General features: G+C 47.8%; 1 protein-coding gene across 2 annotated transcripts in view; it reads right to left on the bottom strand.

Moving 5' to 3' along the window:
• The window catches only part of TECPR2 (tectonin beta-propeller repeat containing 2), a 139,537-nt gene that overhangs the window by 69,264 nt on the left and 54,389 nt on the right, over positions 1-15,884 (bottom strand). For both annotated transcript variants that reach the window (NM_014844.5, NM_001172631.3), the window contains exons 6-8: positions 7,923-8,235; positions 4,832-4,964; positions 1,086-1,418 (exon numbers count right to left, since the gene is read on the bottom strand). In NM_014844.5, coding sequence (NP_055659.2) covers positions 1,086-1,418; positions 4,832-4,964; positions 7,923-8,235 — 779 coding nt within the window. The remainder of the gene's footprint in view (positions 1-1,085; positions 1,419-4,831; positions 4,965-7,922; positions 8,236-15,884) is intronic.

The raw sequence follows: 15,884 nt of genomic DNA, 5'->3' as shown, positions 1-15,884 counted from the left end.
GTATTTAAAATAAAAGTTGAAAAAAAAAAAGAAAAAAATTCAATGTTAAATCCCATATTTGGTAGCATATTCAACACTAAACATAAAATGTCCCAAGTATTTACCAGCATAGATCTTCTGGTTTCCACAACTTTCCACCCAGGCTCACAGAATCTCTGATTTAATCAATGGTATACATGGATAAACCAACACTTTTTTTTTTTTTTTTTTTGAGACGGAGTCTTGCTCTGTTGCGAGGCTGGAGTGCAGTGGCGTGACCTCGGCTCACTGCATCCTCTGCCTCCCAGGTTCAAGTGATTCTCCTGCCTCAGCCTCCCGAGTGACTGAGATTACAGGCACATGCCACCAAGCCCAGCTAATTTATGTGTTTTTAGTAGAGACGGGGTTTCACCATGTTGGCCAGGATGGTCTCAATCTCTTGACCTCGTGATCCGCCTGCCTCGGCCTCCCAAAGTGTTGGGATTACAGGCATGAGCCACTGCGCCCGGCCCCGACATTTTAATTTAAATACTAAAAACTATGCCAGGCGCGGTGGCTCACGCTGTAATCCCAGCACTTTGGGAGGCCGAGGCGGGCAGATCACCTGAGTTTGGGAGTTCAAGACCAGCCTGACCAACATGGAGAAACCCTGTATCTACTAAAAATACAAAATTCGCTGGGCATGCATACTCGGGAGGCTGAGGCAGGAGAATTGCTTGAACTCAGGAGGTGAGGTTGCAGTGAGCCGAGATCGTGCCATTGCACTCCAGCCTGGGCGACGAGCGAAACTCTGTCGCAAAAAATAAATAAATAATATAAATACATAAATAAATATTGAAAAGTACAAAACTGAGACCCTTTAAGCAGGGTGGTGAGTACACACAGGTGTTCTGTCATCATTTAGACCTTACAGTGTGTGTGTGTGTGTGTGTGTGTATTTTCCGTTAATGTGAAGTATTTTGCAGTAAAACTCCTTTGGGGAAGAAATGTATGTGTTCTCTGCTTTTGGATGTATGGAGCATTGCTCACTCAGTGAGCAGCAGCACTCCCAGAGAATCTGGAAAGACTGTAACCCCAGATGGGTGTGTGCCAGCTACAGAGGGTACCTGTCTTCTTCTTCTTCTTCTTCCTTTTCACTTTGATAGGCTTCACGACAAGCTCCTGGTCAAAGTCCTCTGAGCTGATGGCGTTGAATCTCTGTGACAGGGGCTGGCTGCCCTTGCCCAGCTCAGGGGTGGCCTGGAGCCCAGGGGGCAGGAGCCCGGAGCCGCTGTCGGTGGAGTTGAGCGAGCTGCTCCTGCTCCTTGGCTCGCTGGCCACGGAGCTGGCCATGGAAGAGCCTCTGAGCCTCGTCTCAGAAACTGTGGCCCCTGGCAGCTTCTCCGCTTGCTGCACGTGGACACGCTCTGAGCATCCAGACATCTCCAGACCATCTCTCACTAAGAAAGAAGAGTCTGGTTTTACCACTGGTGATCCAAGAGAGAGCTGATGTGCACTTATCCACGTTTGCTAGCCCTAAATACCAGTTGTCACAGAGGCACCAGCCAGCTAAAGAACTGAATGATTCTAAATTCATAGAAACCAGCAAAACTAGGATGGGCACGGTGACTCACGCCTGTAATCCCAGCACTTTGGGAGGCCAAGGCGGGCGGATCACAAGGTCAGGAGATCAAGACCATCCTGGCTAACACAGTGAAACCCCGTCTCTACTAAAAATACAAAAAATTAGCCGGGCATGGTGGCGGGCGCCGGGGGTCCCAGCTACTTGGGAGGCTGAGGCAGGAGAATGGTGTGAACCTGGGAGGCAAAGCTTGCAGTGAGCCGAGATTGCGCCACTGCACTCCAGCCTGGGCAACACAGTGAGACTCCGTCTCAAAAAAAAAAAAAAAAAAAATCCACCAAAACTAAAAGAATCATACAAAAGACTCTAAGAAACAGTTTTTGTTCTTCAAGAAGCTCATATATTAAAATCAGTAAAATAATTTGCCATAGCTTTCTTTTTATATTTATTTATTTATTTATTTTTGAGACGGAGTCTCAAAATTTAGCAGGGTGTGGTGGTGCACGCCCATAGTCCCAGCTACTTGGGAGGCTGAGGTGGGAGAATCATTTGAGCCTGGGAGGTGGAGGTTGCAGTGAGCTGAGATCATGCCACTGCACTCCAGCCTGCACGACAGAGTGAAACCTGTCTCAAAAAAAAAAAAAAAAAAGTAAAAAAATACTAAGAATACAGCATTTCTCGCTTCAATTTACAAATTATTTACAAATGAGAGATGCCTGTGTATAACAAAACAGCTTAGTTATACTTCATACTAAGACTCTGCCTTGAATATACTTTAAGATTACTCAAAGGGCATTTGAAAAATACATGTGTACCTGTAATTAAGTTTCCTGGAAGAGGGAAAGGTAATTTTCCATTAGAACAAACTCAAGACAGAGAAGTCCATTACCACACAGCATCAAGGCCAGTAGACCGCAGAGTGAGAACAGGCATGTGAGTACCTGTCTCCTGTCCCCAAGCCCAAGGGCCAGTGAGCTTCCCACTGCAGTGGACTCATCTTTTCTGCAACACGACACCACAGGGCACAAGGCCAGAGCAGTTCCAGCTACAGTACCCTCAACACAAGACCACAGCCCACTTTGATCCATTCGCCATCCTCTCTTTATCGGGGATCCTCCGTGTGCCAGACACAGGGCTAGCTGCTGGGACATGGCAGTCCATAAGACACAGGAATTCCTGCCCTTGAAGCACCCACATTCTATTGAGGGCATGTGTTAGGGGCAGACTGCAGGCAATGAAGTGTACACTGGAGACTGGAGGGGAGGACTCTGCTGTGAAGCGACTTGCTGAAGATTACATAACTTAATGGCAGATCTTGCCTAGAGCTCCCTGTCCAATAGGCAGCCACCAGCTACTTGTAAGTATTGAAATTCAAATTGATCAAAATTGAACAAAATTTAGGCTGGGCGCGGTGGCTCATGCCTGTAATCCCATCACTTTGGGAGGCTAAGGTGGGAGGACTGCCTGAGCTCAGGAGTTCGAGACCAGCCTGGGTAACATGGTGCATGGTGAAACCCCCTTTCTACTAAAATACAAAATATTAGCCTGGTGTGGTGGTGCACACCTGTAATCCCAGCTATTCGGGAGGCTAAGGCAGGAGAATCGTTTGAACCCAGGAGGTGGAGGTTGCAGTGACCAGAGACTGCACCACTGCACTCTAGCCTGGGATACAGAGCAAGACTCTGTCTCAAAAAATAAAATAAAATAAAATAAAAATTAAACAAAATGTAAAATTCATCTCTCAGCTGCACTTGCTATATTGCAAGTACTCAGCAGCCACACATGGACAGGGACTGCCTACCAGACAGGGCAGATGGGAGCATCTTCATCACTGCAGAAAGCTCTATGGGCAGCAGAGGTCCAGAGCTTAGCCTGGTGGCTCCAAGTCACCACCCTTCCTGAAAGCCATTCTAACCCTTTGATGACACTGTCTGAGGGGCCCCCAGCTCATAAACTCAAGAGTCAGAGCTTATTCACTTCTTATACAAATTATGTTTTGGAATATTCACCCCAATTTGCCCTCTCTGACATCAGAGGTAATGGTAGTGAGGAGGAGGGTGATGGGGTCCACATGGCTGTTGTTGCCACCATGAGGAACAAGTTCCCCGAGGAACCCAAATATATAAAGCATGTGGATGTCCGCAAGAGGACACATATTAGGATTCTTTGCTCATTAAAATTTGGGCTTGTATGAATTACCAAAAAATGTCAAAAGCACAGAGAAAAATAAATCCTACAAGGAAGAACTGAGTTAAGGGTAAACGGTATGTCCCAGATGACAGATTTAAATATTCTAAAACTCTATGCAAATCTATGTCTTTTGGAGCATTAATCCCACATACTGTCTCAGACGGAGAGCAGGGATCAGTAAAGTGGTTTCTGATTTTTCCTTCCTCCTTTCTCAATCTCCCCATCTTCCACAACCATGAAAGCAACTCCACTAAATGTGAGACTATCTGATGTAAGCCTTAAAGTAGGTGACTTTCAAGAAATGTACTGTAAATGCTATTTTAACAATCAGAGGAGCGGCCGGGCACAGTGGCTCACGCCTTTAATCCCAGCACTTTGGGAGGCGGAGGCAGGCGGATCGCCTGAGGTCGGGAGTTTGAGACCTGCCTGACCAACATGGAGAAACCCTGTCTCTACTAAAAATACAAAATTAGCCTGGCATAATGGCGCATGCCTGTAATCCCAGCTACTCAGGAGGCTGAGGCAGGAGAATAGCTTGAACCTGGGAGGCAGAGGTTGCGGTGAGCTGAGATCGCCTCATTGCACTCTAGCCTGGGCAACAAGAGCGAAACTCCATCTCAAAAAAAAAAAAAAAGAATCAGAGGAAACCCTCCAAATCCTCCAAGTTCAAATAAAGTTGCAATAGTTTAGCAAAATAATGGTAAGTTTTTGGTTTTGTTTTTGAGATGAGGTCTCACTCTGTCATCCAGGCTGGAGTGCAGTGGTGCAATCTTAGCTTACAGCAACCTCTGCCTCCCAGGCTCAAGCGATCCTCCCACCTCAGCCTCCCGAGTACTTGAGACCACAGGCGCATGCCACCACGCCTGGCTAGTTTTTTGTATTTTTGGTAGAGACAGGGTTTTACCATGTTGCCCAGGCTGGTCTTAAAGTCCTGAGCTTAAGCGATCCACCCACCTCAGCCTCCCAAAGTGCTGGGATTACAGGCGTGAGCCACCATGCCTGGCCCAATGGTAAGTTTGATCAATTATTAACTGCAATTACAAACAACAGAGTATAGTACTTCCCATCATATACATGGTACATTTTATAATAAATACAAACCTGTTGATGTTAATCCTTCAGGCCTGCTTGAAATTCTTATAATGTTCCTATCTCCTTTCAAGAAAAATATTTCATTTTCTGTGCACGAAACAGACACAATATCACCGGATCCTTCCAAACCAGCAACTGTGGCCTGTCAAAAAAAAAAAAAAAAAAAAAACAAAAAACACAAAACTAAACAACGGTAACAGCTCAAAGCATAAAAATGCATGTGTGAGAGTCCAAATCAGTCAAATGATAACTGCACTTTACTATGGTAACTTTCTGAAAATTCCAATTCAATCCAAAGTTAGGTAACATCTCACAGATTGGTAAGCAGGATCTGAGGGGTCCCCTGGCATGGTGGGGCCTCGGTCATCTCCGACCCACGTACCACCCTGCCCTCGTCCCTGCTGCAGGTGCACCGGCCCTGCCAGCCCAGTCCCAGCCCTGTTCCTCCATGGTGAATGCACGTGCTTCTCTTTCTGCTCAAATTCCTTTCCTATCCATGTTTGCTGGGGAAGTTCCAGTTCTCTCCAGACGCCACCTCTGTGAGAAGCAGCCTCTGACAAGCTTGCCCTCTGCTGCAACACCCAGGGCTCTCAGGGCTTGCAGCACCTCATCCAAACTTCCGCTTGACGCCCCACTCCTGGGCTGAAATAACGTGCAGACACGTCTAGTCCCCCTACTGTGTGCATTCCTGCAGGAGAGGCCAGTGCGCACTGCAACTCATGGGTTTTGAATGAATACATGAAGGGAGGGGAGGTTCCTCCAGCATTATCTGAAAGTGGGTGGCAACAAAACACAGGACATCCTGAGCCCACACTGACTTAAAGCAAGTCCTTGCTTTGCTGTAGACAGTGCAAATAAAGAGACTAGTCTGTTGTAGAAGGAGAGTCTATGTTTTTGGCTAATTTTAAATAACTGATGGACTGCTGCAAACATAACATTTGTTTCCGAAAGCTGCCAGTCATGCTGCCACTGGGTGGTCCAGTCTCTGAGGGTGACTGTGACATCTGTCCCAGACGGTCCCCTGTCTCCATTTCTCTACCTATAAAATGAAGTTAATTATACCTACTGGGTAAAGCATCGGGTAAATGCTCAGATGAAAGAACCAATGCACAGTTACAAAGCATCTTGATGCTACTAATTAATAAGTGCACATAAGTTCAAAAGGTATCCAGGGAAAGAAGTTCTCTGTAACTGAGGAAAGGGTGCAAAAATACCTTTCAGAATATCCCTTATAAAATGAACAAACTCAAGGCACCTTGGTGATTCCCCTAAGTCGATGCTTCTTCCACCCCCACCCCATTTTACAGGAAAACAAACCAGGCTCCGGCCGATAAGAGACTCTTGGTTAAAGGCAGAACCAGGCTAGAAGAGTCGAGTCTAGTTCTGCCCCCCACCCCGGGCCAGTTTTCTTTCTGCCAAACCAGTGTTACCAGGTACGGCTGATAATAATTCATAAAACTTCAATGAGGAGAAGATGAACTTCATGTTCTGCTGACACACACCAAAGAAGAAAACCCTTTCTTTTCTTTTTTTCAAATGAAGTCTTGCTCTGTCACCCAGGCTGGAGTGCAGTGGTGTGATCTTGGCTCATTGCAACCTCCGCCTCCCAGGTTCAAGCAATTCTCCTGCCTCAGCCTCCCGAGTAGCCAGGACTACAGGCGCCCACCACCATGCCTGGCTAATTTTTGTATTTTTAGTAGAGACGGAGTTTCACCATGTTGGCCAGGCTGGCCTTGAACTCCTGACCTCAGGTTATCCACCTACCTCGGCCTTCCAAAGTGCCCAAAGTGCTGGGATTACAGGCGTAAGCCACTGCGCCTGGCTGAAAACTGTTTATTTTCTACAGTGAGGCTCTGCTTATAAAAGAAAGGGGTGCCTGTCAGAGGCCCGCTGAGCTCAGAATGGAAGAACGTGAACAGGACAGGGCCTGGTCTAGAGTCTGGGGGTGAGGAGTCGGGAGGGTAAGGCAGGGAGTTTATTTTAAAAAGAGCAAAAGCTCTGCTCTTAAGACAAGGAGAAACTGAAACTAAACAGCTTTGTTTAAAGTTTCTAAATCTGTCTCTGATGATAATCTGTTATCATCTTGGTTTAAGCAGAAATTATTTCCTACCATGATTTTAATGATGTTGGAAATTTGCCCAAGATATATTGCTAAGTAAAGAAAACTGAAAATAAAAAACAAAAAACAAAAAAAAAACCAAGTGGCGGCCGGGCGCGGCGGTTCACGCCTGTAACCCCAGCACTTTGGGAGGCCGAGGCTGGCGGATCACCTGAGTCAGGAGTTCGAGACCAGCCTGGCCAACATGGTGAAACCCTGTCTCTACTAAAAATACAAAAAAATTAGCCAGGCGTGGTGGTGCGCACCTGTAATCCCAGCTACTTGGGAGGCTGAGGCAGGAGAATCGCTTGAACTCGGGAGGTGGAGGTTGCAGTGAGCCCAGATTGCACCACTGCACACTGCACTCCAGCCTGGGTGACATACTAGGACTCCATCTCAAAAAAAAAAAACAAAAAAAAAAACCAGGCATGGTGGCTCACGCCTGTAATCCCAGCAATTTGGGAGGCCAAGGCGGGCAGATCACGAGGTCAGGAGTTCAAGACCAGCCTGACCAACATTGTGAAACCCTGTCTCTACTAAAAATACAAAAATTAGCCAGGCGTGGTGGCATGCGTCTGTAATCCCAGCTACTCAGGAGGCTGAGGCAGGAGAATCGCTTGAACCTGGGAGGTGGAGGTTGCAGTAAGCCGAGATCATGCCACTGCACTCCAGCCTGGGTGACAGAGCGAGACTCTTTCTCAACAACAACAACAACAACAACAACAACAAAAAGAACAAGTTTAATTTTGTGTTTACATACAAAAAACATACATCATTTCTCGGCAGAAAATTGGACCTAAATGTCAAAACCAAATTTTTTTTTTCAAATCTATAAAAATTACCAAACCTTCATTTGATTTCCTTGACTGGCCCAAAGGAAAAAGTAAAGTGTAAGTCAATACTGCTCCTGGTAGCATTCTGAGGTCCCTGAGTAGAACAGTTTATAGAGATACATTCTCTTGCCTATAGACACAGAAGATATGGTGGCGTCCCTTCACTTACCTGGTTGACTGTGTCTAGGAGATAGATACTATATTCATTCCAACTCAGCACCCAGCCTTCTTGAAAGAAACATGAAACAAGCCCCAGGTGCCTCTCAGGTAAGCTGCAACTTCCACTGTTGGGGGATTCCAGACGCGGGTGCAGTTCAAAAGGCTTGACTCCCCCGGCAAAAGCATCTTTTAAGATAAACGTGGCTTGAACAGTCCCGTGGACATCAGCCTTCCATAGCCGGAGCCCGGGCCGTGACGCATACAAGGTTAGATCACTTTGCTTACAGAGTCCTGGTATAAAACAAGCACCAAATTTCCCAGTACTAAAATTAGAAGAAAGAAAGAAAGAACAAAAAACAGACATGGACTGATTTAAAGTAATGCAGTTGTCAACCCTTAATATTAAGTACAACAAGAATTTTTTGGCTAAGACAATAATTGATTTTTCACCCTTTCTACTGTTTGTTTTTTGTCAAACCACACTGTCATCCCTGTACCAACAGAGGCCCGACCACACCCTCACAGGTGTGTGCCCCATTAGCACACAGGGAACCATTCACTGAGTACTCACACAGCCTGCACTGTGCCTGGCACTTGATCCCACTCTCGTGTCTAATCCTTACAACAACCATGAGTGGCAGATACAGTCACGCATCACATAACATTGTATTCAGGCTGGATGCATCATGCCTGCAATCTCAGCACTTTGGGAGGCCAAGACGGCAGATCATCTGAGGTCAAGAGTTTGAGACTAGCCTGGCCAACATGGTGAAACCATGCCTCTACTAAAAATACAAAAATTAGCCAGGCATGGTGGCGCATGCCTGTAGTCCCAGCTACTCGGGAGGCTGAGGCAGGAGAATCGCTTGAACCTGGGAGGCAGAGTTTGCAGTGAGCTGAGATAGTGCCACTACTGTACTCCAACCTGGGTGACAGAGCAAGACTCTGCTTCAAAAACAACAACAACAAACCATTTTAGTCAATGATGGACCGCAAATACAACAGTGGTCCCATAAGATTATAATACCATATTTTTATGGTACCTTTTCTATGTTTAGACATACAATTACTTACCGTTGTGCTACAGCTGCCTAAAGTATTCAGTACAGTCACATGTGGTGCAAGTCTGTAGCCCAGGAGCAATATGCTGTACCATTTAGCCCAGGTGGAAGTAGGCTGTACCTACCACCTACGCTTGTCAGTACACTCAATGCTGTTCATACAACAAAGATGTCACCTAACAATGCATTTCTCAGAATATATTCCAGTTGTTAGGTGACACATGACTGTATTACAACTCCCGTTTTGGAGGAGAGGAAACTGAGGCAGAAGGTGAAGAATCCAGGTCTGCTCATCCTTTCCCTGCTCTGATTCTGTTGCTTCTGACGTCTGATTGCTGTGCTCAGTCCACATCCTGAATGAATGAGCTTCACAGCAACCCATCTATATTGTTGCCTTTTCAGAATTTCTCTAAACCCATCAGAGGCACCAATGTCCCTTCCTGCCCCCAAGCTTGATATTTTTTCTTTCTGAAATTATGAAATATCTGACACAAACAAAAGAATATGCTATATATAGAGTCACAGGTCACTTAGTGACAGGGATGTTTGAGAAATATGTCATTAGGCGATGTCTTCGTTGTGTGAACATCATAGAGCGTACTTACACAAACCTAGATGGCACAGCCTATGACACACCCACATAGTCTAGCCCAGGGCTGTCCAATCTTTTGGCTTCCCTGGGCCACATTGGAAGAAGAAGAATTGTCTTGGGCCACACATAAAATACACTAACAATAGCTGATGAGCTAAAAATAATAATAATAATAATAATAGTCACAAAAAAAACCTCTTTTTTTTTTTTTGAGACAGAGTTTTGCTCTTGTTGTCCAGGATGCAGTGCAATGGCGCAATCTGGGCTCAATGCAATGGAACCTCTCCCTCTTGGGTTCAAGTGATTCTCCTGCCTCAGCCTCCCATGTAGCTGGGATTATAGGTGTGCACCGCCATGCCCAGCTAACTGTGTATTTTTAGTAGAGATGGGGTTTTACCATGTTGGCCAGGCTGGTCTCGAACTCCTGACCTCAAGTGATCCACCTGCCTTGGCTTCCCAAAGTGCTGGGATTACAGGCATGAGCCACTGCGCCTGGCCAAAAAATCTCATTTTAAGAAAGTTTACAAATTTGTGTTGGGCCGTGGGTTGGACAAGCTTAGTCTAGCCTATTGCCCCTGGACTGCAAACCTGTACTCCATATGACTGTACTTAACACTGTAGGCACCTGTAACATAATGATGACTGTTTGTCTATCTAAAAACAGAACACGTAATGTGTGGCGCTAAGACACCAGCTGATAGGAATTTTTTCAGCTCCATTATAATCTTCTGCGACCACTGTCATACATGCAGTCCGTCAATGACTGAAATGTTGTTATGCAGTGCACCACTGTGTATATGTACATATATCCATGCAGTTATGAAGCCTAGCAAGGAAAGGTACACCTGGGAACCCATCCCCAAACTTAGGAAAGAAATCATCAGTCACCCAACCAATGTTCTCCTGTGCTCCTAACACTTCCTGCCCCCTTGTGCCCCAGATGGAACCACTGGACTGCATTTTGCCTTTATCATTTCCTCACTTTTTTGTTGGTTTAATCACATATCTATGTATCTCTAAAGACAATATAATTTAGTATTGTTTATCTTTCATTTTTATTAAAATGTATGATGCTAATTGTACTCTTTTGCTTTTTCTCACTTAACACTATGTTTCTCAGATTTATCCTTCTTGATAAAAAGAAGCTGTCGCACTAATTCATTTCTACTGCTGAATGGTACAGTACGTCCTACTCAGCGTCCACAGGTTCTTAGAAACTACAACTGTAAGCGAAATGACATAGAGCAGGTCCTCAGATAACACCATCTCCTTCAACAACATTGGTGAGGGAAAAACACTGGTTTTGTTATACGTTGTTTTGCTAATGTCGCAGTTTCCAAGAACCTATCAATGACATTAAACGAGGACTTAATGTATTCCACAATTCATTTATTCATTTTCTTGTTGATGGATATTTCAATTATTATTTTTTAAAGCTATTTTGAGCAATTGTGCTATGAGCATTTCTGTGCATACCCCTTAGCCCACAGGTGTCAGAGTCTGTCACGGACACTCAGGATGCAGTTGGTGGGCTGTGGGGTAATCGCTGGGTTGCTGAGAGCATATTCAAGTTTAGAAGACAACTTCAAGCTTTTTAAACGTGATTATACAATCTACACTCCCACTGGCAATCTGAGTTCTCGTTATTTCTCAGGATGCTAACAGAGTTCACATGTAAGCATTTCAGTTCAGCCCTATGCCTGGCTGATTCCTTCTCCCAAATACTTCTCAGATTGTGAAAAGCAGAAACAGCACTGGTTTTAGAGCTAGCCCTGGGCTCGATGTCCAGCCCTGACACCTAGTGGGTATGTGGTACGTGCAATTATTGAACTTTTCTGGACCCGTTTCCCATTCTGTAAACCAGGCAGAGTAACTCCCATCTCAAAGGCTGAAGTGAGGAATTAATGAGATTACTTACATGCAGCACAAAAGCAATGCTTGTGACACTAAGTCCCCATAAGTGCTCAATTGTCCTGAACGAGGCTACAGGCAGGTCACAGTTGAGAGCTGCCTCCGTGCCACTGCTTCCCCACCAGACCTCGGCCAACTTGTGCTGTGCCTGTTCCCACACTCCCTGCACACAGCAGCACACCCAACCCTAGAGGCCACCCCCAGGGCCCACCCACATAGGCAAACAGATAGTTATTTGCGGGGTTTCTTCGCACACCAGAATCTCACTAGGTCCCTCTGGCACCTCAGTAACTAAATCCCTTTGGATAGGGTCCAAGGAGGATATTATATATCAAATTCAGCTTTGAAACAATGATCGTTAGGACGAACCAAGGGTGTTTTGACATCGTGGATCTTTTATGGACAACTCTATCAACAGCATCGTATCTGATTACTGCCTTTGGTGGGTTTGTTCTGGAGATGTCCTCTAAATAGAGCGAACCAGAGGAATTCCAGCAAGGGAGCCCATAATCTCTTCCTCTGCCTTTCCTGTCAATCAATTTCTCTTGGCGATCCAATTTTTAAATGTTTTCCTTCTATTTGTAGGACCTCTGAAAAATCTCTTGTCATTTCCATTTTGACTGGTTCATCTTATGTAACTAAAGCACTCATGTTAACAAACATTTAGTGATTCCTACATTCTGTAAGACATCGTGTTTGATGCTCTGGGTAAAATAAAAAATAAATAAGATGAGGTCCTCAGCCTGTCTCATAACACTGTGCTGACCTGTGTGAACAATCACATCAGCATCTGGAAGCGCCATCTGAGGCTCAAAGAGCTGCTCAAAGAGCTCAGATCAAGGTGGTGCATCTGAGTGGGCATGAGAAGGCGAGGTCCTGAACACCAGGTGGACTCTTACCCTGGAGGAAGGGAAAGGAGCCCTGCTGAGCAAGGTCCTGGGAGTGGCTGCCTCTAAAACTGCTGAATAGCTGGGCATGGTGGCTCACACCTGTAATCCCAGCACTTTTGGAGGCCAAGGAGGGAGGACTGCTTGAGCCCAGGAGTTTGACAACAGCCTGGGTGACCTAGAGAGACACCATCTCTACAAATTAAAAAATTTAGCCAGGCATGGTGGTGCGTGCCTGTAGTCCTAGTTACTCGGGAGGCTGAGGGAGGAGGATCGCCTGAACCCAGCTGTTCAAGGCTGCAGTGAGCTGTGATCACACCACTGCACCCCAGCCTTGGTGACACAGCAAGACCCTGTCTCTAAAAAATAAAAAGAACGGAAATGTCTGATGAGTGGGTTGGTCAAAGGCAGTGAAGTTGTGAAGAACCAGCTAGAGCCAGGTACAAATTGTCCTAAGCCCCCGACTCAGCCACCATCCACTTGCAGTGCGATTCTGCAGTACTTGCTGGTGCTTTCTGAATTTGACACTGAAGCTCCAACTTTTAAGGTCTAAGTATTGCAGGATTCTAAAATCATAAACAAATTAATATAATTTCTTAATTTCGGTAGAGATGATTTCCAAAAACCTCATTGATTACCTAAAAAAATTTTAATTCCCTTTATAGACCACGTTGATATGTAAGGAGTGTGTTCTGGCTAACAAATTCTAGCTATAAAATGGTGTTTTATGATTTTGTGCATAATGTATGGTGCCACAGAGCTGATACGCTGAAAGCTGACAGCACCCAAAATGGGAGCCTGAAAGTCTAAGCTGAGTGAGAAGAAGGATCCACAGAAGCCCTGCCAGAGATCTCAACAGCTAACACCCACTGGCCATCCAAACAGATGTGCTAGTCGCGGGGTTCCAGAACCGGCTGCTGGCTCTTACCCACATGCGGGCGCCACACCTACAGATTGCTGCGTCTCCTTCTCCTTCCCCAGGGCAAAGTGCTACTGCCAGGGAGGGCTTCCCTGAGTACTAGACTCACAGGGGACACAGTAACAGGTCTGCAGAGGGCTCTGACACATGAAACAATGCAACATAAATACACAGGACAGCAAACCCACGGTTGCAGATGGCTAGGGCCTCTGAGGTTTTCTGGATGTAACACACATCATCCGGTCTGAAGAGGTTCACGGACTCGACGGGAAGAGGACCCCTCGTCTTCTACCTCTGGGCCTCCTGACCTGCCTGCACCTGCCCTGTGCTCAGTGCCCTGCCCTTTCTCTGGAAGAGAGTCTCTGTCCCGGTTTCTGGTCAACCCTACACTGCTGCCCATGAGAGGGCCCAACTGAGGCCACCGCCTGCACTCTGTCCCCACCAGCACTGTGTTCCCTCCACAGGCACCCGCGTCACACACCAATGTGCTGCCACACGGCCCCTCTCCCAAAACTCCCACCAGGCCACATGGTTCCCCCCTGGGCACCACCTATTTGTCTTTCTTTGTTCTCTTCTACAAAAACACTCCTCCTAAAAGCTCTCCATACTCGCCGTCAACTCCTCTTTCAGCCCTTCCAATCCCTTGGCCCTGCTGATGAGGAGGGCTGTGCACAGCCTCCATGCTACAGACTCAGGCCCGTCGAAGCTGCCTCAGCCCCCGGTCTCGCAGCAGCTGCTATGTCCCTCCATATGGCCTCCGACTCCTCTGACCCCCCAACTCCTGTTCTCTCCTGATGCCCTTTCCTCTTCAGAACACAAGCCTGCCCAAATCTCCCTAGGCGAGCTCCTGTCTGCATGCCAGTGGCTGCCAGCGCACAGCTCCCCGAGAGGTACACCCGCCACCCGCCTCCCACGCCAGCTCTCCACTGCAGGGAGAGGACATGGCGGGGCCACAGCAGGCTGTTCCATCTCCTCCTTCTCCCCGTGCCTCCAGGATTCTCTGCGTCAATCCACAGCATGTCCACTCACCCAGCTGCATAGACCACAGACCTAGGAATCATCTCCAACTCATCCCTCTCACACCTCAGAACCAACGTGGCAGCAAATCTGCCAGCTCTGCCTTGGAAGCAGTCCGACCACCAACCCCGCCCCATCCTGTCTTCTCCTACCCGGATCACCCAGAATCCTTGCTGGCCCTGCTGAGCTGCCACACCTGCCCCCTCCAGCATATTCCAAGCAGCAGCCAGAGTGACCTCCCTGGCTTGGCCACAGCCCTCTGTGACTGACCACAGCACTGGACTGAAAGAGCCCCATGGGCAGGGCCCACAAAGCCGACGGGAGGGGGCTCCCCACACCGTGCTCCACACAGCCAGCCTGGCTGCTCAGATCCTCGGTGCGCAGGGCCCTCTGCCTCCAGAGCCTCTCTCTAAGGTCTTCTCGCACTAGTTGCCTCTTTGTTTCAGGAATCAGCCCATGCTACCTCCTCAGAGGAGCCTTCCCTGTCATCCTATTAAAGAGACACCTGTGTCTCCTGCTCCTCCCTCTCTGGCTCTGCACCCTCTGACATGTTTATCTGTTCACTACTCTGCACACAGCTCCCTGAGATTAGAGATCTGTTCTGCCTTGTTCACAGATATCCCCCGATGAGGAGTACTGGAGCAGGGCAGAGGCTTGGCGCAAAGCTCCAGCGCTGAATGAACAGACATTCCCTGCGTGGATTCATCCAATGTCAGGGTGTCAGTGTCACCTGTATCTGGTGACCTCATTTTCCCCTCTGGTCAAGACTTCTTCCCTGGGCTCCAGACCGGTCCACAGAACTCTCTTCTGCGACTCCCACGCAGCCACCTGACAGGCCCGTCAAACCCCTTATGTCCACAGCAGAGGTCCTGATGTCCTGACCTCTGGCCCAGCCTTCCCCAGTCTCCAGTCTCCATCTCAGTCAATGGTTTCCCTGGACTCCCAAGGCAGCCTCCCTGCGGCTCCCCTGCCTCCCTGCGGCTCCCCTGGACTCCTGCAGCAGCCTCCCCGTGGCTCCCCTGGACTCCCGTGCCAGCCTCCCCACGGCTCCCCTGGACTCCCGTGGCAGCCTCCCCACGGCTCCCCTGGACTCCCATGCCAGGCTCCCCTGGACTCCCGTGCCAGCCTCCTCGCAGCTCCCCTGGACTCCCATGGCAGCCTCCCCACGGCTCCCCTGGACTCCCGTGTCAGCCTCCCCACGGCTCCCCTGGACTCCAGCCATAGCCAGTGCCCTAGTCACTTCTGGCTTCTTGAACATCTAAGCTCTTGCCCAATTGAGGTCTTGGCATATGCTGTTCCCTGAGCCTGGAATGCTCTTCCAGCAGCTCTTCCCAGGCTTCAGCTCAAAGATCACTGCCCTTGTAGAGGCCTTTCCTGACCATCCTATCCAAATGCAACTTCCTGCCCCATGCCTAGCACTCCCTAATGCTTCACCTAGCCCGCTCCTTTACAGCACTGACAGCCTCTACTCTCCTCCTGCTGACCGACAGTCTCTCTCATTGTGTTTGAGGGCAGAGGCCTTGTCTCCTTGGATGCCTCCGTACTTGCTGTCACGCCTCCACGTGTACATGCCTAGCTCCGCTCA

Source organism: Homo sapiens, chromosome 14 (genome assembly GCF_000001405.40).
Source record: "Homo sapiens chromosome 14, GRCh38.p14 Primary Assembly".
NCBI lineage: Eukaryota > Metazoa > Chordata > Mammalia > Primates > Hominidae > Homo > Homo sapiens.
This window is presented reverse-complemented; position numbering and strand designations above follow the sequence as displayed.